Source organism: Homo sapiens, chromosome 16 (assembly GCF_000001405.40).
Source record: "Homo sapiens chromosome 16, GRCh38.p14 Primary Assembly".
NCBI classification, from domain to species: Eukaryota; Metazoa; Chordata; class Mammalia; order Primates; family Hominidae; genus Homo; species Homo sapiens.
In genome coordinates this window covers 8951736-8969953 of record NC_000016.10, presented here as the reverse complement: position 1 = coordinate 8969953, position 18218 = coordinate 8951736, and the positions used below count along the sequence as shown (strand labels likewise).

At 51.5% G+C, this 18218-nt stretch overlaps 1 protein-coding gene and 1 long non-coding RNA gene across 3 annotated transcripts in view, besides 16 other annotated features; one reads left to right on the top strand and one right to left on the bottom strand.

The window, feature by feature from the left end:
* Positions 2575-3196: an enhancer, noted in NCBI's record as "H3K27ac hESC enhancer chr16:9060615-9061236 (GRCh37/hg19 assembly coordinates)". NCBI's record gives its function as "activates a minimal SCP1, AML or CMV promoter by ChIP-STARR-seq in naive H9 embryonic stem cells {active_cell/tissue: H9 hESC(naive)}" and the evidence as "EXISTENCE:reporter gene assay evidence [ECO:0000049][PMID:30033119]".
* Positions 2964-7241, bottom strand: USP7-AS1 (USP7 antisense RNA 1). The gene is made up of 2 exons (NR_184341.1): positions 7060-7241; positions 2964-3201 (listed from the first exon to the last, which is right to left on the bottom strand). It is a non-coding gene; the product is annotated as a USP7 antisense RNA 1 (long non-coding RNA).
* Positions 3197-3820: an enhancer, noted in NCBI's record as "OCT4-NANOG-H3K27ac hESC enhancer chr16:9059991-9060614 (GRCh37/hg19 assembly coordinates)". NCBI's record gives its function as "activates a minimal SCP1, AML or CMV promoter by ChIP-STARR-seq in primed H9 embryonic stem cells {active_cell/tissue: H9 hESC(primed)}" and the evidence as "EXISTENCE:reporter gene assay evidence [ECO:0000049][PMID:30033119]".
* Positions 3197-4444: a biological region, named in NCBI's record as "hESC enhancers GRCh37_chr16:9059367-9059990 and GRCh37_chr16:9059991-9060614".
* Positions 3608-3902: a silencer, noted in NCBI's record as "tiled region #8562; K562 Repressive non-DNase unmatched - State 23:Low". NCBI's record gives its function as "represses a minimal TATA promoter and a strong SV40 promoter by Sharpr-MPRA in K562 cells {active_cell/tissue: K562}" and the evidence as "EXISTENCE:reporter gene assay evidence [ECO:0000049][PMID:27701403]".
* Positions 3821-4444: an enhancer, noted in NCBI's record as "OCT4-NANOG-H3K27ac-H3K4me1 hESC enhancer chr16:9059367-9059990 (GRCh37/hg19 assembly coordinates)". NCBI's record gives its function as "activates a minimal SCP1, AML or CMV promoter by ChIP-STARR-seq in naive H9 embryonic stem cells {active_cell/tissue: H9 hESC(naive)}" and the evidence as "EXISTENCE:reporter gene assay evidence [ECO:0000049][PMID:30033119]".
* Positions 5586-5945: a silencer, noted in NCBI's record as "silent region_7183". NCBI's record gives its function as "represses an Ori minimal core promoter by ATAC-STARR-seq in GM12878 lymphoblastoid cells {active_cell/tissue: GM12878}" and the evidence as "EXISTENCE:reporter gene assay evidence [ECO:0000049][PMID:35858748]".
* USP7 (ubiquitin specific peptidase 7) overlaps positions 6048-18218 on the top strand; it is a 71810-nt gene continuing 59639 nt past the window's right edge. Inside the window, exon 1 of one of the 2 annotated variants that reach the window (NM_003470.3) lies at positions 6048-6747. In NM_003470.3, coding sequence (NP_003461.2) covers positions 6669-6747 — 79 coding nt within the window. In that variant the 5' untranslated portion in view covers positions 6048-6668. Of the gene's footprint in view, positions 6748-13573; positions 13647-18218 lie in introns of those variants that run through there. The other variant, NM_001321858.2, reaches the window with a different exon arrangement.
* Positions 7141-7677: an enhancer, noted in NCBI's record as "H3K27ac hESC enhancer chr16:9056134-9056670 (GRCh37/hg19 assembly coordinates)". NCBI's record gives its function as "activates a minimal SCP1, AML or CMV promoter by ChIP-STARR-seq in naive and primed H9 embryonic stem cells {active_cell/tissue: H9 hESC(naive and primed)}" and the evidence as "EXISTENCE:reporter gene assay evidence [ECO:0000049][PMID:30033119]".
* Positions 9855-9924: an enhancer, noted in NCBI's record as "active region_10367". NCBI's record gives its function as "activates an Ori minimal core promoter by ATAC-STARR-seq in GM12878 lymphoblastoid cells {active_cell/tissue: GM12878}" and the evidence as "EXISTENCE:reporter gene assay evidence [ECO:0000049][PMID:35858748]".
* Positions 11296-11345: an enhancer, noted in NCBI's record as "active region_10366". NCBI's record gives its function as "activates an Ori minimal core promoter by ATAC-STARR-seq in GM12878 lymphoblastoid cells {active_cell/tissue: GM12878}" and the evidence as "EXISTENCE:reporter gene assay evidence [ECO:0000049][PMID:35858748]".
* Positions 11296-11592: a biological region, named in NCBI's record as "Sharpr-MPRA regulatory region 8678".
* Positions 11298-11592: a silencer, noted in NCBI's record as "tiled region #8678; K562 Repressive non-DNase unmatched - State 5:Enh". NCBI's record gives its function as "represses a minimal TATA promoter and a strong SV40 promoter by Sharpr-MPRA in K562 cells {active_cell/tissue: K562}" and the evidence as "EXISTENCE:reporter gene assay evidence [ECO:0000049][PMID:27701403]".
* Positions 11776-11835: an enhancer, noted in NCBI's record as "active region_10365". NCBI's record gives its function as "activates an Ori minimal core promoter by ATAC-STARR-seq in GM12878 lymphoblastoid cells {active_cell/tissue: GM12878}" and the evidence as "EXISTENCE:reporter gene assay evidence [ECO:0000049][PMID:35858748]".
* Positions 15367-16566: an enhancer, noted in NCBI's record as "BRD4-independent group 4 enhancer chr16:9047245-9048444 (GRCh37/hg19 assembly coordinates)". NCBI's record gives its function as "activates an origin of replication core promoter dependent on BRD2, P300/CBP, MED14 and CDK7 cofactors, and independent of BRD4, by STARR-seq in HCT116 cells {active_cell/tissue: HCT116}" and the evidence as "EXISTENCE:reporter gene assay evidence [ECO:0000049][PMID:35650434]".
* Positions 15367-17378: a biological region, named in NCBI's record as "BRD4-independent group 4 enhancer GRCh37_chr16:9047245-9048444".
* Positions 16429-17378: an enhancer, noted in NCBI's record as "H3K27ac-H3K4me1 hESC enhancer chr16:9046433-9047382 (GRCh37/hg19 assembly coordinates)". NCBI's record gives its function as "activates a minimal SCP1, AML or CMV promoter by ChIP-STARR-seq in naive H9 embryonic stem cells {active_cell/tissue: H9 hESC(naive)}" and the evidence as "EXISTENCE:reporter gene assay evidence [ECO:0000049][PMID:30033119]".
* Positions 18052-18181: an enhancer, noted in NCBI's record as "active region_10364". NCBI's record gives its function as "activates an Ori minimal core promoter by ATAC-STARR-seq in GM12878 lymphoblastoid cells {active_cell/tissue: GM12878}" and the evidence as "EXISTENCE:reporter gene assay evidence [ECO:0000049][PMID:35858748]".

The window sequence follows — 18218 nt, the reverse complement described above, 5'->3', positions numbered from 1 at the left end:
CCTGTAATCCCAGCTACTCCAGAGGCTGAGGCAGGAGAATCGCTTGAACCCGGGGAGGCGGAGGTTGTGGTGAGCCAAGATCGTGCCGTTGTACTCCAGCCTGGGCAACAAGAGTGAAATTCCACCTCAAAAAAAAAAAAAAAAATGAACACGACTCCAACCACTATACACACACCTGGCCAACTGGGAGCAGTCATTTTGGCATAAAGCTTTCATTTGCATTTGGCTGTCTCTCTTCCAAAACCAATCCCAGAAGAATGCTGGTCACATGACTTCGTTTTATTTAGCCACTCTGTGGCAGTCACTTTTGCTATTCATTTAGCCTGAGGCAACAGGGTCCCTATCTCATAATAGGCACTCATCCCAAAAACAGATTTGAGTGAAAGGATGGTGGATTGCGGGGGTCAGGAATTGGAGGCTGGGGTCTCATTCTGTTCTTTTTCTTTTTTTTTTTTTTTTGAGAAGGGGTCTCACTCTGTTGCCCAGGCTAGAGTGCAGTGGCACGATCTTGCCTCACTGCAACCTCTATCTCCCGGGTTCAAGCCATTCTCTTGCCTCAGCCTCCTAAGTAGCTGGGATTACAGGTGCCTGCCACCATACTTGGCTAATATTTTTGTATTTTCAGTAGAGGTGGGGTTTCACTATGTTGGCCAAGCTGGTCTCCAACTCCTGACCTCAGGTGATCTGCCCGCCTCAGTCTCCCAAAATGCTGGGATTACAGGCGTGAGCCACTGTGCCCAGCCTCATTCTGTTCTTAGAACAATGATCTCACAACCTCTGATTTTTTTTCTTTTTTCTTTTCATTTCTTTTTCTTTTTTTTTTTTTTTGAGGTGAAGTCTCTCTCTGTCGCCCAGGCTGAAATGCAGTGGCACAGTCTCAGCTCACTGCAGCCTCCACCTCGCAGGTTCAAGCGATTCTCCTGCCTCAGCCACCCAGGTAGCTGGGACTAAAGGCGTGCACCACCATGCCTGGTTTTTTTGTTTGTGTGTTTGTTGGTTTGTTTTTGAGACAGGGTCTCACTTTGTTACCCTGGCTGGAGTGCAGTAGTGCGATCTTGGCTCACTGCAACTTCCATTCCTGGTTCAAGCGATCCTTCCATCTCAGCCTCCTGAGTAGCTGGGACCACAGGCGCAAGCCACCACACCCATCTAATTTTCTTTTTTTTTTTTCTCCCCCCGAGAAGGAGTTTCGCTCTTGTCGCCCAGGCTGGAGAGCAGTAGCGCCATTTCGGCTCACTGCAACCTCCGCCTCCTGGGTTCAAGCGATTCTCCTGCCTCAGCCTCCCAAGTAGCTGGAATTACAGGTGTGCGCCACCACACCCAGCTGATTTTTGTATTTTTAGTAGAGACGGGGTTTCACCATGTTGGCCAGGCTGGTCTCGACCTCCTGACCTCAGGTGACCCACCCACATCGGCCTCCCAATGTGCTGGGATTACAGGCGTGAGCCACTGTGCCTGGCCACACCCGGCCAATTTTCATGTATTTTTTGGTAGAGACAGGTTTTCATCATGTTACCCAGGCTGTTGTCAAACTCCTGAGCTCAAGCAATCTGCCCACCTCGGCCTCTCAAAGTGCTAGGATTACAGGCGTGAGCGAATGCACTGGCCAACCTGTGGATTTTGAAGCGTTTGATATTTTATGGTTTCAGGTAGACTGTTTTCCCATTTCCCTGATAAGAATCCAGAATTAGAAAAGGTTGGGCTGGGCGTGGTGGCTCACGCCTGTAATCCTAGCACTTTGGGAAGCCGATGTGGGTGGTTCACCAGAGGTCAGGAGTTTGAGATCAGCCTGACCAACATGGTGAAACCCCGTTTCTACCAAAAAGGCAAATATTAGCCAGGTGTGGTGGTGTGCACCTGTAATCCCAGCTACTCAGGAGGCTGAGGCAAGAGAATCGCTTGAACCCAGGAGGCGGAGGTTGCAGTTAGCTGAGATCGTGCCATTGCACTCCAGCCTGGGCTGGACTCTACCTCAAAAAAAAAAAAAAAAAAAGGAAAAAGAAAAGAAAAGAAAAAAGAGAAAAGAAAAGGTTAAGTAAGCTTCCCAAATTCAAGTTTACAGAACCATGTATGGAGCTAGGTTCCACCTGGTTTCTGAATCCTAAAGCCCCTTACTCTCCCACACTGCTTGACCTTGGCTAAGTCCCTTATCTTCTCTAAACCCAAATCCTCATCAGTAACCTTGTGGTATGGGATTAGGTCATCTTTCTAGGTATGGATTATTTAGGAATTTAGTTATCCCGGTGGGGCGGGGGGTGGGGGCAGATGAAGGCGTGGAGAGGGGGAAAGCTGTTAATCCCTTTTCTTCTCTGACACTTCTATTAAATAATTTTAGACCCTGACCAACATAGCTTCAAGGTAGATAAATATTTTGGTTCTCAAGAAGAAAAACCAACCCTCTGTTTATGCCAAGTCATGCCATGGCCCTGGGAGCAGCAAAATATGTTTTGATCCAAGTAATGATAGGGTGGGCCCTCCCTGCCCTTTACTGGCTCTAGCTAATGACAAGTCAGTTTCTCCAGCGGTTCCTGTCTCCCCGGTTTTTCATCTCCTTAGTCCCCGGTTTCTGAACCACGGTAGGGGTCATGAATTTTTTTTTTTTTAATTGGCAGTGATCAAAAATGGTGCCCTCAGTCATCTTCCCCTTCAGAGCCCTTCATGTCCTTTGGAGGCATCTTGGCATTCACCCTCTGAGGAAGCAGGCATTACTCAGCGGATTCACTTCTGCAGAGTCCTTCCACACACACCCCTTCTGTGTGCAAATGGACTTTATAGCCAATGCAGGCACAATTCTACCAGGGGAGGAAGAAAACAGGCCAGCCGAGCCTGCTGGAATAATCCAGTGGGGGCCTTTTTAGTGGGCCTCCAAGGGCACTGGTCTTGCTTTTCTCATAGCTGTGGTGCCCTAGAAATGAACTCTCCCTCCACTATCCACTCCTCAGTGAAAGATGTGGACCAGCCAGGAAGAAGCAAAGAAGTGCTGTTTTATTGACTCCAGAAGAGAGGCCTTCCAAGCGAGCAGGCACTGTCATTCCCAGCCTGTATCCCAGAGGCTCTGAGCTCCTAGCAGGCAGTAAACAGTTGCAGGGGTGAAAGCATTCATTCGGCAAATCGGCAAATCTTCACTGAGCATCCACTGTAAGCTTGGTGCTGTACTGAGGATAGAGCTGTAGACAAGACAATTTCTTCCTCAAGGTGCTTCTAGAAAGAGAGAGAGATATTGTGTGTTTTTTGTTTTTTGTTTTTTGTTTTTTTTTGACACAGAGTCTCGTTCTATAGCCCAGGCTGGAGTGCAGTGGTGCAATCTCGGTTCACTGCAACCTCCACCTCCCAGGTTCAAGCGATTCTCATGCTTCAGCCTCCTGAGTAGCTGGGATTACAGGCGCGCTACCATGCCCGGCTAATTTTTGTATTTCTAGTAGAGACGTGGTTTCACCATGTTGGTCATGCTAGTCTCGAACTCCTGACCTCATGATCCGCCCGCCTCAGCCTCCCAAAGTGCTGGGATTACAGGCGTGAATCACCGTGCCCGGCCAGATTGGTTTTGAACTCAGTGATGAGGATAAGGTTGGCCAATGTGAACTGACAGCCATATACATAACTTTCTGCCACCTCTTCCTCTGCCAGAAAGGCACTTTCTTCCCTCCTCCAAGCTTCCAGAATACTAGAGAGAAGGACTCTTTTGCATCTGAGCGCTGTTGATTAGCATTTGTGAGAATCTGTGTGAATAACAATACCTCTTCTTCAGATTCTGGGGGTGACCCAAGGGATTCCTTTGAAGTGACTGGGCTCTCCCCTGCTCACCTCTGTGGTCTGGCAGGAAATATACTGGTGAAAAACCTTCAAGCGTACGAAATGCTGGTGAGGGGGATCCAGTCACGCTTGAATCATATGTTCATTCAACCAGTTGACTAATGATTGATTAATTGATTGGCTGATTGAGATCGGGTTTCCCTATGTTGCCCAGGCTGGTCTCCAACTCCTGGGCTCAAGTGATTGATCCTCCCGCCTCAATCTCCCAAAGTGCTGGCATAAGGGGTGTAAGCCACTGTGCCTGGCCCATTCAACCAATATTTATTTATGTATTTATTTATTTTAGATGGAATCTCCCTCTATTGCCCAGGCTGGAGTGCAGGGGTGTGATTAGCTGACTGCAGCCTCCACCTCCTGGCTTCAAGCAATTCTCCTGCCTCAGCCTCCTGAGTAGCTAGGATTACCAGCGTATGCCACCATGCCCGGCTAAGTTTTTTGTATGTATTTTTAGTAGACATGAGGTTTCACCATGTTGGCCAGGCTAGTCTCGAATTCCTGACCTCAGGTGATCCGCCCACCTCGGCCTCCCAACGTGCTGAGATTACAGGCGTGAGCCACCGTGCCTGGCCCAACCAATTTTTTTTTTTTTTTTGAGATAGAGTTTCGCTCGTTGCCTAGGCTAGAGTGCAATGGCGCGATGTCAGCTCACCGCACCGCACCCTCCACCTCCCGGGTTCAAGTGATTCTCCTGCCTCGGCCTCCTGAGTAGCTGGGATTACAGGCATGCGCCACCACGCCCGGCTAATTTTGTACTTTAAGTAGAGACGGGGTTTCTCCATGTTGGTCAGGCTGGTCTCAAACTCCCGACCTCAAGTGATCCGCCCGCCTTGGCCTCCCAAAGTGCTGGGATTACAGGTGTGAGCCACCGCGCCGACCTGGCCCAACCAATTTTTATTGAGCACTTGCTGTGTATCCCAGGCATTTGTGATACAACAGTGAGCAAAACATTCTTTCGGGGGGAAGGGAGATGAACAGTACATAAATGGGAGAAAAATGCAGGGAAAGCGGGTATAGGGAGATGGAGAGAAGACAGGTACCACAATCTTCTGGCCTTGTTAGGGTGAAATTCTATTCTCCCCTGAGATGTGTAGAAATGTATATCGGTTTGCTCCATTTTTATTGACCCACACTGCCTTGATTAACTGGAAAAGTTGAGACCCTAATCATCAGTCTGTCAATGACTGAATGAGACAGGACAGGAGATATATTCACCAAATGTCTCCTGGAATAGGGAGGCCCCGGGTGAATGATCCCAGACTGGGTTGATAGGAAGGAAGTAAATTAATACCAAATGTGAAGGGTAGTGGGCTTGTTTTATTTTTATATTATTATTTTATTATCACTATTAGTTGAGACAGGGTCTCATTCTGTTGCCCAGGCTGGAGTGCAGTGGCGCCATCTTTGATCACTGCAGCCTCAGTCAACCTCCCAAGCGAACCTCCAGCCTCAGCCTCCCAAGTAGCTGTCACTACAGGCAGGAGGCACAACACCCGGCTAATTAAAAATACATTTCAAAAATATAAAAACAAAACCCAAAACCTTTGTAGAGAGGGTGGTCTCTTACTCTTGGCCTCAAGTGATTCTCCCACCTCGGCCTCCCAAAGTGCTGGGATCACAGGTGTGAGCAGCTGCGCCCCGCCTGGGGTTGCTCTTGAGGAGCCAAACTTTGCCAGATTAGGCTGACAGTGAGAAAATAAATTCTTCCACGGTAGATACTGGGTGAAAAAGTGCACGTCAGCGGGCAAGGGTAAGTAACGACAATAACAGGAACTTCTAGGCGCTGACCCCAAGCTCCCTTCCGGGCCCTATCCCGAGCAGTCCCCGGGCAACCTCCAGCGCTCGCCCCGGCGCGCTAGGCTGGGACCTGAACCCCGGCTGCCGGGTGGCTTCTGGGCCCCTCCTCATTGCCGCTCCTGGGTCTTTCGGGGTGTCCGGCTCCCCAGGATGGGAAGGATTCCGGTTCACCTCCGCAGGGCTAAGTCACCGGGCGGCCCGCCTCGGCCCCCAGGGCCCGGGGGCAGGGAGCGCCGAGGGTCCGCCGCGGGGCTGCGGCGCAGGCGGTGCCGGGGCGCGGCGCTGCGGGGCAGGCGGGCCTCGGCGGCGGCGGCAGGCGGGTCGCTCCCTGCTCCGCCTCCCGTGCTCCGCCCTGCGCTCCCGCTCCGCCCTCCGGCTCGGCGCCCGCCCGCTTGCTCTCCTCGCTCGCTCGCTCGCTCCGCGGCCCCCCATGCGGATGTGACATTTCACGCCGCCGCCATTTTGAGAGCGAGCCGAGCCGAGCTGCCGGGCGCCGCGTCCGCTGCCGGAGCCCCGACGACGACGCCGAGGAGGCGGAGGCCGCGGCTCTCGGAACGCGGCCGGCCCGTCGCCCGCCCGCTCCGCCGCTCCCGCCGGCCCCAGGGCCCGCAGGCCCGCCGCGGCCGGCCAGGCCTCCCGTCCGCCGCGCCCGGCCCGAGGCGGGGCTGACTCCGCGGCCCCCGACCGGCCGCCCTCCGCCCCCGGCCGGCCCGCGGCCCCGCAGCCCCGGCCCCGGCCCCGGCGGCGGGAGGCGGGCCCCGCGGCGGCGGCGGCGGCGGCCGCAGCGAGCGACGAGGCCGCCCGGCCCGGCCCGCCGGCCGCCCGCCCGCCTCGGCGCCGAGATTGGGCGAATCGCGAGCAAGTACGTGCGCGTCTCCCTGCCGCCGCCGCCGCCCGCCGCGGGCCGCCCCGGGGCCGCCGTCGCCGACGACGCGCGGGAGGAGGAGGAGGAGGCCGCCCCGCCGCCGCCGCCGCCGCCGCCGCCCCGGCTCGCCGCCGCCCGCCCGCCGGGCTCGCAGCCCCGGCCCCCGGCCGCAGGCGAGGCCCAGGCCGCGGCCGACATGAACCACCAGCAGCAGCAGCAGCAGCAGAAAGCGGGCGAGCAGCAGTTGAGCGAGCCCGAGGACATGGAGATGGAAGGTGAGGCCCGAGGGCCGGCCGCGGCGGGGCCGGGGGGCGCCTTTCATTGTGGCCGGGGGAGCCGCGGGAGCCACGCGAGGGGCTCGCCATCTTTAACCAGGCCCCGGGCGGCCGCCGGGCCTCGGCCTGGCCTCCCGGCCCCGGCCTGCGAGGCTGCAAAGTCATGCCGGGTCCGCGGGCGAGGGGCGGCCGCCGGGACCCCGGCCCCGTGCATTGTCCCGACCTCGCGTCCGCCGGGCCTCCGCGGCACAAAGCGCCCTGAGTTGTAAATTCGAGCGCTCAGGCAGCGGAGGGACGGAGGTGTTTTCTCACCCAGGTTGGGAGGCGGACTCCGGGGACCGTCCCCGTTCTGGGGCGTCCGGTTGGATCTGGTGTGGCTGGGGAATTCCTGACCTCCCCGGGCGCGGGGCTCGCCCGCACCTGCTCCGGTGCGCTCCCCCGGAGGGCGCGCCGTGGCTCGGAAGCGCTCTTCCAAATCACTTTCTAACAGCACTGCCTAGCGTCGGGCTTACGTTCGAAAATACCTGCAAGGAACGCAGATGTTGTCAGGTTTTGGACTGGCCCAGAGTTCTGACCCGGGCGCTGTTGGTTTCCGAATCCACCTGTTTTTCGGGGAGTTTGTACTTGGCAGTGTGTGGTGCAGCCAGCATCCGGCCAGGTGTGCGCTTGCAACCGTGCGAAAGCCCTGCCGCACATGGCTGCCTGCATCAGAATCAAACCTGACTCGAAAGGTAACTCGGTTTTCTGCCGATGTGGCAGTAATTTTCCAAGGCACTGTAGTTTGAGGTATAGAGTCTTGGTTGTAAAGGTTGGATGTGAAGACGCTGTAAAGAGAAGGGTGTTGGATTTAGGGAGTTGGTCGTTGGAAGGCACTTTTTCTCACGACCCATTTCACTGAAACAAAGCAAAGTCCAAATGGTCTTTAAAAAGTTTTCTTACCTACGTGACGAGTTCAGGCTGTCGGGAGTCAAATGGAGGCCACCTGAATGAAAACGGCGTGGAATGCTTTAGTTTTGCTTTTAGCAAGGGATCTTGGGTTGCCTCAATGAATGAAGCTCCAGGGGAGCTCAGGAAAAGCAGTATTTGTCCTGTGCGGTGGCTCCAAGTGTGGGGCGCTGCACACCGGTTGGTGGGAACACTTAAGCGTGACTGGTGTTCACCTCTGAATAGAATAACTTACTTCCAGTAATTGGATAGTCACTGAAAAAATGGCTGGCCAGGTTGCAAATGACAAAGTGGCTGGGATTCTGCAGTAGGCACTCCCCAGTGGTATTTATCAATGGCAGTAATGGGGGACAGAAGAGCGGAGTCCACGCCAAGGACTGGGTTATCTGTTTCACTTGGCCCCAGCAAAGCAGCAACTAAGAGCGCCTGTTATGTGTGATTAAACCAAATAGCTGAAAAGAAGTACTTTACTGAGGGAATTTTGTGTATTCCTTTTGTGCTGTATTTTGCAGCCCATCTAAAACATAAAAGAGGGTTGCTTTTCAGTTTCCTTTTCAAATGGTACCCGGTCAAGACAAATATCCAATAACACGAGCATATGGATTTCCCATGACATTGTCCTACCGCTTTCCAGGTGTTTTTGGACACTAGTGAGAATTAATAAACAGACATTACTGCAGAGCATGTGTGTTACAGACCTGTATCTTTGGGAAAATGACCAGGTCCACAAATTTCAAGGTATTTGCCCCCCCCCCCCTTTTTTTTTTTTGAGACGGATTTTTGCTCTTGTTGCCCAGGCTGGAGTGCAGTGGCGCGATCTCGGGTCACTACAACCTCCGTCTCCCGGGTTCAAGCGATTTTCCTGCCTCAGCCTCCCAAGTAGCTGGGATTACAGCCATGTGCAACCACGCCTGGCTACTTTTGTATTTTTGTTAGAGACGGGGTTTCTCCATGTTGGTCAGGCTGGTCTCGAACTCCCGACCTCAGGTGATCTGCCCGCCTCGTCCTTCCAAACTGCTGAGATTACAGGTGTGAGCCATCGCGCCTGGCCGGTGTTTGCTTTTAAAAGACTAGAGGGTGTTGAATTTTTAGAAATTCATCAGTCTCCATGCACGTTTTCAAGGCTACTTTCTTTTCTCATAAAATGAAGCTTTATTTTCATATTACAGTTTGTATTAGAAAGGTAACCCCTAGGACAGTTAATCTGTAAATTTAGCAGAATCTCAAATTGGATGGCAGAGGTTTTAGTTACTAATGCTGATTCCTTAAACTTAAGAAACTCATTTCTTCTGACTGGGCCTCTGTTTCAATTTCATTATCCAGGAGGTCCCTTTTCTTGTAGTGAGCACATGAGGCTGTGGACAAATAATAGTGCCCTGTGAGTACCCACTGGTGTGTGGTTTAAAAAGCTACTTGTGTCTTAGGCCATCTATTTCAGCCTTCCCAATCCTGAAATGTGGTACTAGCCTTACGATTGGAATGTGACTTAGGACCCGAAAGAGTGAGAGAACACTTCTGTTAAAAAGCCAGAAGGCTGGAATTTAGTGGACTCTGGTTGGCTTCATGGACCAGGCTGTGAGTGGGGTCCTGGTCAGAGCTAGAGACTTGGCACCTGTTCAGTGTCTGCCTCGGTTCCTAACGAACTAGCAGCTGGAAACTGTCAGGGTCTGAACAGCTTGAGGAAGGGAAGGCTTTGTAAACCTGGAGCATCCTGCCTGCACCTCCTGGGCAGAGTGGTTTCGAAGGAGCCTGGGAGACTGTTTCGTTTGTTTTGTCTCTATCAATAGGTCAGTGTGAGTTTGCTCTCCGGCCTCACATTCTTGGGGTTGCATTTGCTTTTGAGTGAACTCTGCACAGTCCTTGTATATTCATTGGAAAACAGCAGTGCTCTGGAATAGTTATTTTTTGAAATGCCCTGAGCAGTTAGGAAAGTGATGAAGGGTGAAGTGCGGAGAGGGAAGAGGTGGGGCCTGATGCAGTTTGCTGGGGTTGCAACCACACACTCCCTGTAAGGCCTGAAGCAGCCAGTTGCATGTTTCTAGTTGGAAGGCAGATAGAGCTGTGGAGGTGGTGGCATGATTAGGTCTGGCTGGGAATAAGGTTGCTTGGCAGTGTATTATTTATTCGCTAACTTTGGTGGCCATGGAAGTCTAGGGGCTGAAGGAGTGACTTGCATGGGTCTCTGCCCTCTGAATACTCAGATGGTCGGTGTAGACGCTATTGAATCAACAGGAAGTTATCAGGAGGCCTTGCTTCTGCATACAAACTGTTTTTTTCCCTGGTGTGGTTCTTCTGCCCAAGTGAGCAGTCTCTGTTTCAGTGTCGGCTCTGAGACGAATGGGATAGATGTTAGACTTTTCTATGACACTTAGACTGCTGCTATTAGGAGCAAATTAATGGGTCAGCTGCAGCTTCTGATCTAGGCTTCTGTGTTTTTTGTTACGGGGGTGGTGGTGGGTTTCTTCCAAACTTGTGCAGTTACTTTTCTGCTGAAGCATGTTTGGGAGTAGAATGTGAGTTCTCTTGAACACACCCAGCCAGATAAACTTGTGCTGTTGTGATTATAACTAATAGAAGATTCTTTCAAATAGCACTGTAACGAGACAAAAGTCAAATAATTCGAGAGTGTTGATTTTCCTTACATTGGCTTCTGTTGCTAAGATAATTCTTTGCAAAGTTACAAGATGAACATCAGCTCAGAGAACCCAGTAGAGAGAAATTAGGCCAAACCTAGCATCTCACTCTGATGTGAGCACGTCAGGTTTTAATGATTCAAAGCGATTCCCCAGGCTCCAGCTCTCCTGATTCTTTCAGGCTGCTGATATCCTCATTATTAATTTTTTCTCTGTAATGAAATGATCGATACTAGTAAATATAGGAAGAAGGTATCCTTTTTTTTTTTTTTGAATTAGTGTTTTGGAAAAGGAGAAAGAGGTCATTAAGTAAAAATTCATGGTATAACAGACTGTGGTGACTAAGGCAGTCTAGATTTAGAGCCATGCCTGGGTTTGAATCTGGGTTTTGCCATCTAATTGCTGTGGGACCTAATGCACATTGCTTAAGCTCTTGGTTCCTCAGTTTCTCCATCCCTTAAAGGAGGTCATTCATGCCCGTCAAGGTTGTTGTGAGACTGGAATCGCCAGGCACATCTAAAGTGCCTGGCATGGAATTTGGAGCATAGGAGATGTTCAGCACATGGTGTTGCCTTGGTGGTAGGGCTTTTGCAGCCAAGAAAATGTGACACTATGTTAGAACTAAAGTGGGGCACACACCACAGGTGGGGCCATCGAAGATGGGTGCTATGCAGAAAGGGCCCACAGTAACCATATCCGATGTGGATTAGGAAGAAGCCATCCGGCCTCTGCCTAAGCAATGCTGTTCTTGAAATCTTGGGCTTGATGTGCTTGAATAGGGATTTTAATATTAAAAGTGTAATATTTTGAGAATGATTCACTGTATGATAAAAGTCAAGTGGATTTGGTGCCATGCGCCACTGATGCTGTAGTCAGCCTGGTGGCCTTCTGATGATTCTTGCGTGAGTGCTAGAGCTCCCTGCGATGAGTGTGGGGAAGTGGAACACTAGATAGTGGCAGGAAACCAGGTCCCTGAGTGTCCAGACGTTGGGAGTCGGCTTTGAACTCTGCTGTCTCTATCCCACATCCTGTTGCCAGGCCCGTTTGGCTGTCTCAGACATCCCCTGAAAGCAGGCCCTTGCTGCCTCATGCTGGAACTGTGGTGGTAGCCTCCCTCTTGGTCCTGCTTCCAGCCTGCCTGACCCCACACTTTATGAAAGCTGCTGCCCACAGGACTTCTGTCCGTCACTGCCTTGCTGAAAAGGACTTGGTGTCCTGCCTTCTCTACAGGAAGTCGCACAGCTGCAGTCTTAGGATGGCCCCAGCCTCCTTGGTGCTGCCGGTTCCCAGCACACATGCACTTGTGTGGGCACAAACAGGACAGATACCCCAGGAAAGTGGTTCAGAATCCCACCCAGGGGCCACCTTTCCCCTAAGCCTTTCTAGTCGCCTCTCCCTGTTGGCTTGCATAAGACCCATGCACTTTTTGCCCCACCTGCTACTGTGCCGGTGGGATGGGCATTGGGGTGCCTCTTCTACACCGTTGGCTTGTTTGCTCTGAAGGTGACCATCTCAGTTTCCTTTTTTGTTAAATTTATTTGTGGGAGATGCTCATTCAGGAAACACTTTTTTCAGTGTACTCTGAGAATAAACAGTAATGCAGGAGATGGCTGGCTGGCAAGTGGCTCTGAGAAAGAGACGCTGAAGCCATAAAACGGTATTGCTTTGATAGGTGCTCATTCAGTTTTATTGCTTTTAACGTTAATGTAATGGTGTTTTTTTGATCCTTTTGGAAGTAAAAGCCCGTTTTCCAGACAAAGACATTGATAGACTTTCATAAATAACTGAAAATTTCTTTTCGGTATTTTGTAAAGTCTATTTTTGTTATCGTTTTTGTGTTTTTAATTTTTTTTTGTTTTTTTTTTAATTTAAGAGACAGGGTCTTGCTCTGTTGCTCTGGCTGTAGTGCAGTGGGCGATCATAGCTCACTGCAGCCTTAAACTTCCGGGCTCAGGTGATCCTCCCACCTCAGCCTTCCAAGTAGCTGGGACCACAGGGTCAGGGTGACCACATTTGGCTAATTTTTTTTTTTTTTTTGAATTTTAAGTTTTGTAGAGATGGGGTCTTGCTATGTTCAGGCTGGTGTGGAATTCCTGGTCTCAAGCAATCCTCCTGCCTGAACCTCTCAAAGCACTGGGATTATAGGTGTGAGCCACCTCACCCAGCCCGTTTATGGTTTTTTGCATGAGTAACAAATAGCGTGGATATCCTGCTTGATTTCCAAGGCAAAGAAGTTTTATCCTGGAGAACAAGAGTTGTAACAACATATTTCTTGCCATGTACCATGACAGAGTTAGATGTTAAATGTCACCTACTTTAGAAATTACTTGTTCTGAACTAATTTGGACTTAAGAAAGTTGGAGGAAGCAGGGTTTTAAGTGTCATGCGTAGGCAAGAAAGTCAGTTATGCCATTTTTCTAGTAAGTTAACACATGCCTCAGCTAATGAGAAGTCAGATGTGTTGAAATTTTTGAAGAGAAGCAGGTCTACTTCTGAGGGTTGGTAATTTTAACTTTTTATTTGGAAGTTGGAAACAGTAATTAGTACGTTTCTTGTATGGGGAAATACACCAACCTGAGCCAGAGCAGGGATGCTTCCAGAATTCAGTGATGACACTCCTGAGACAGAGGCTGGCAAGAACCCAGCATGGGATGGGCAGAGGGGTGTCTGGGAGAAGGCACCCTGAGAGATAGCGTCGACTTGTCTGTGTTGTGCTGCCCAGAAGGGCTGGGCATGGCTGAGGCTGCGCTGGGAGTCCTCGTGGATAATGGGGCACTGCCTGCGGGGGGGCTGGGCTCTTACTATCCTGTGCCTGTGGCTGTGTAAAGCAAATTCAGTGTTTTTTTTTTTTTGTTTTTGTTTTTTTAATACGAAGTCTTAATTCGTTACCCAGGCTGGAGTGCAGTGGGACGATCTCGGCTCACTGCAACCTCTGACCCCTGGGTTTAAGCCATACTCCTGCCTCAGCCTCCCGAGTAGCTGGACTACAGGCACACGCTACCATGCCCGGCTAATTTTTATATTTTAGTAGAGATGGCGTTTCACCATGTTGCCCAGGATAGTCTTGACCTCCTGAGCTCAGGCAGTCTGCCCGCCTCCGCCTCCCAAAGTGTTGGGATTACAGGCGTGGGCCACTGCGCCTGGCCCAAATTCAGTTCTTAGCATGCCCCTTGACGGGTGGAGACACTGTTGTGAGGTCACAGCTGTTCATAGTTGCAGAAATGCCCGTGTGTCCTTGGAAAGAGCCCATGTTATCTGCCAGGAGCTTTAACTTCATGAATGTTTGAAACCTGGGAGCGAGCGCTGTGGCCCATTCTCAAGGTGGTGATCATTCTCTTTGGGTCATTGAGAATCTAAAAACTATTTAGAAGGAAGGAGGCTCCCTTGTGAAACCAGGACAGGTCATGTGATTTTCCTGCCTGCCATAGAAGATTAAAAAATCCAGGCCCCTCTTTTTTGATTACATGCCAGTAACTAAGGTTTCCTGACATCCCGATATTGGGAGGACAGTGTCCTGTGTTATGTACTAACCTCCAGCTCTCACAGTAAGTTGTTAAACTGGCATCTGGTTTGGAAAGTGTGCTGTGTGAGTTTGGTAGTGTGACTTGTATTGCGGAACATGGTCCCATCCCAGGGTGGGGCTGCAAGTGTCTGGGTGGTAATCTGACATCTGGCTGTCTCTCTTGCCACCCCATTCACAGTACTTCAGAAAAAGTTGAGAGGTGTGTTTCCAAGGGACACCATGTGGCATTCCTCTGAATGTGTAGGCTGAGCAAACCTTTCTACTCCACAGCCCCTTAAAAAAGCTGTAAGCCATTGACCTCAAGTTGCAAGCACATTTCATCAATAAGACTTTGGGGAATAAATTATATTTCATGACTCTTAATTGACCCTGTGCAATGTTTTTTTTTTTTTTTTTTTTTTGAGATGGAATCGTGCTCTGTTGCCAGGCTGGAGTGCAGTGGTGTGATCTCGGCTCACTGCAACCTCCTCCTCCCAGGTTCAAGCGATTCCCCTGCCTCAGCCTCCCAAGTAGCCAGGACTACAGGGGCGCGCCGCCATGCCCGGCTAATTTTTTGTATTTTAGTAGAGACGGTTTCCCCATGTTGGCCAGGCCTGACCTCATGAGCTGCCTCACTCGGCCTCCCAAAGTGCTGGGATTACAGGTGTGAGCCACTGCGCCTGGCCATGCAATTGCTATTTTAAAACAAGCTTGTGAGCCTGGGCATGGTGGCTTATGCCTGTAATCCCAGCACTTTGGGAGGCCGAGGTGGGAGGATCACTTGAACCTTGGAGGTCGAGGCCACAGTGAGCCAAGATTGCATCACTGCACTCTAGCCTGGGGTGAGACACTGGCCCCAATACTGTCCATCATGTAGAAATGAAATGCAAACAGATTAATATGTAAAAAAACGAGCCATACGGAAAGAGAAACCCAAGTTTATTAAATACAACAAATGTAAAATTACATTTCAGCGGTTATTCTTAGAACAAGCATACGTGGGAAGAAATAAAAGAATTGCAGAAACTGCAGATTCATAGAAAGTGGGTATAGGTGATTAATAGTGACTGGTCCACACACCACTGTCATTCATCTCGTGGTAGCTGAGCAGAATGTTGTGTGAAACAGCAATTGCTGTTACTGTTTTTTTATTTTATTTTTATTTTTTGAGATGGAGTCTCGCTCTGTTGTCAGGGTGGAGTGCAGTGGCACGATCTTGGCTCACTGCAACCTCTGCCTCCCGGGTTCACACCATTCTCCCGCCTCAGCCTCCTGAGTAGCTGGGACTACAGGCGCCCCTCACCGCACCGGCTAATTTTTTTGTATCTTTAGTAGAGGGGGGGTTTTACCATGGATGGTCTCGATCTCCTGATCCACCCACCTCAGACCCCCAAAGTGCTGGGATTACAGGTGTGAGTCCACCGTGCCCGGCCTGCAATTGCTGTTATTAAACTACGCAAACCTCAAATGAATACATACCTTCGTATTTAGTTAGTAAAGTTTTTGGCAAGTCTTCATCTCTGTAGAAAGCTTCCAGAATACATCCTATAAACTTACAGCTAAATTGTCTTCCATTGCAAAAAATAGATTGTGGATTTGACTTTTTGAGTTACGGTTAACAGGGTAATCCTAAAATCTCACAAGCTGTATTGTGGTCCCATTGCCCATGACCCGAATGCAGTCACGCCTCATATGATGAGTTTGAGAACACGCGAGCTACCTCATGCTCTGTTTAGAGAGATGAGCGAGCCCACTGAACACGTTTGGATGTTGCAGCAGAGTCAGATTTCTTAAAAAGGTATCTAAGGCTCAATCTCCATTTCCTTTAGGTTCCCAGGGGCACCTGTTCAAAGCCTCTGCTTCCAGTGGCACCGCAGGGGGCACGTGTCTTCCCTCTGCCTCCAGTGGCGCCGCAGGGGGCACGTGTCTTCCCTCTGCCTCCAGTGGCACCGCAGGGGGCACGTGTCTTCCCTCTGCCTCCAGTGGCGCCGCAGGGGGCACGTGTCTTCCCTCTGCCTCCAGTGGCGCCGCATGGGGCACGTGTCTTCCCTCTGCCTCCAGTGGCGCCGCAGGGGGCACGTGTCTTCCCTCTGCCTCCAGTGGCGCCGCATGGGGCACGTGTCTTCCCTCTGCCTCCAGTGGCGCCGCAGGGGGCACGTGTCTTCCCTCTGCCTCCAGTGGCGCCGCAGGGGGCACGTGTCTTCCCTCTGCCTCCAGTGGCGCCGCATGGGGCACGTGTCTTCCCTCTGCCTCCAGTGGCGCCGCAGGGGGCACGTGTCTTCCCTCTGCCTCCAGTGGCGCCGCAGGGGGCACGTGTCTTCCCTCTGCCTCCAGTGGCGCCGCAGGGGGCACGTGTCTTCCCTCTGCCTCCGGTGGCGCCGCAGGGGGCACGTGTCTTCCCTCTGCCTCCGGTGGCGCCGCACGGGGCACGTGTCTTCCCTCTGCCTCCGGTGGCGCCGCACGGGGCACGTGTCTTCCCTCTGCTTCCGGTGGCGCCGCACGGGGCACGTGTCTTCCCTCTGCTTCCGGTGGCGCCGCATGGGGCACGTGTCTTCCCTCTGCTTCCGGTGGCGCCGCATGGGGCACGTGTCTTCCCTCTGCTTCCAGTGGCACCGCATGGGGCACGTGTCTTCTCCCCAACCCCCGTTTCTTACTGTCTTGGTTTCCCCTTGGATCGTACCTCAGACTTTACTTAGTGGCAGTAGGAGTGTCCTTGGTGTCCTGTAGTGTCCACAGAGGCTGGTGTAGGCTTTCATTCATCAAACATCTGCTGACTGGCAGGAACGGGTCTGGCTGCTGGGTTATGGTCTCAACTCTACCCCGGATGGGACTGCCTCAGAAAGTGAAGGAGCCCTGAACACGTGTGCAGGGGAGGGCTTCGGCAAAGCAGCTGTGGCATAGGAGAGACAGGACTGGCTTACCGCGGGGAGGGGGAGCCTCAGGTGAGGCCTCACAGAGAAGGCGACACAGCTGAGTGTGAAAAGAGGTGGTGAGGCCAGGCATAGTGGCTCACACCTGTAATCCCAGCATTTCGGGAGGCCAAGGCGACAGATTACGAGGTCAGGGGTTCAAGACCAGCCTGACCAACATGGTGAAACCCCGTCTCTACTAAAAATACAAAAAATAGCCTGGCATGGTGACACGCGACTGTAATCCCAGCTACTTGGGAGGCCGAGGCAGGAGAATCGCTTGAACCCAGGAAGCGGAGGTTGCAGTGAGCCGAGATTGCGCCAGTGCACTCTAGCCTGGGCGACAACAAGAATGAGACTCCGTCTTAAAAAAAAAAAAGCGAGTGTGGTCACAGGCGGGAGGGGTGGAATAGCAGGATGAGTTTGGGAACTGCCAGACTCTGTGACTAGAGGTTTAGGGTCTGTGGTTTGCAGAATGATGCTCCCATCCCCGGAAAGGTGTCCATGTCCTAATCGCTGAAACCTGCAAATGTTACGTTACATGGCAAAGGGATTTTGCAGACCTTATTGAATTCAGGATCCCTAGTGAGGAGGTGGGCCTGCATGCCCCAGGTGGGCCTAGTGTACTCACAGTCATCAGTGCCAGAGTGAGGGGACCTGAGAAGACAGGTGCAAGGGGGAGCCCAGGAATGGGGTGGCTCTAGGACCCGGAAGCGGCAGGGAAACATTTCCCCCTAGAACCTCCAGAAGGAATGTGGCCCTGCTGGCACCTTGGTTTTAGCCCGGTGAGACCCATTTCAGACTTCTGACCTTCAGAGCTGTGAAAGAACAAGGTGTGTCAACTTACCTGGGTCACCCAGAGCAAGTGGCAGAGCTGGGATTGGAACACATGTGGTCCGGCTTCACCATAGCCAGTAAGTGCTATTGGTCATAAAGTAGTGGTTACTGAATTTTAATTAATATTTTTTTGGAGACAGGCTCTCCCTCGTGCCCAGGCTGGAATTCAGTGGCGCAATCACCGTTAACTATAGCCTCAAACTCCTGGGGCTCAGGAGTCCTCCCACCTCAGCCTCCCTAGTGACTGGGACTACAGGCACACCACACCTGGCCATTTTTTTTCTTTTTTGTATAGACGGGGGGGTCTACTTTTTTATTTAAACACCCTCCTGCTTTCATCCATTTTCCTACCTCACCACCCAAAAGTCGTGAACTGCAGTTGGGCTTCCCAGTCTGAACGTTGTGGTGTGGTTCCCCACATGCTTTGAATATAGAAAGTAGCCCACTGCCTGAATAGTCCAGGGCCACTGATACACTGCAGGTGGCATTTGGTGGCATAAAAAGAGATGAAGCAAAATAACGCACGTTGGTAGATTGCTTCCTTTGTGAATCAGGTGTTCAGTAACAAGTTTTAATGAGATCCTGAGCTGAATGAATCATTCCTAAAGCAAACCATGCTGGGCTGTATGTATCTGAGTGTATGGA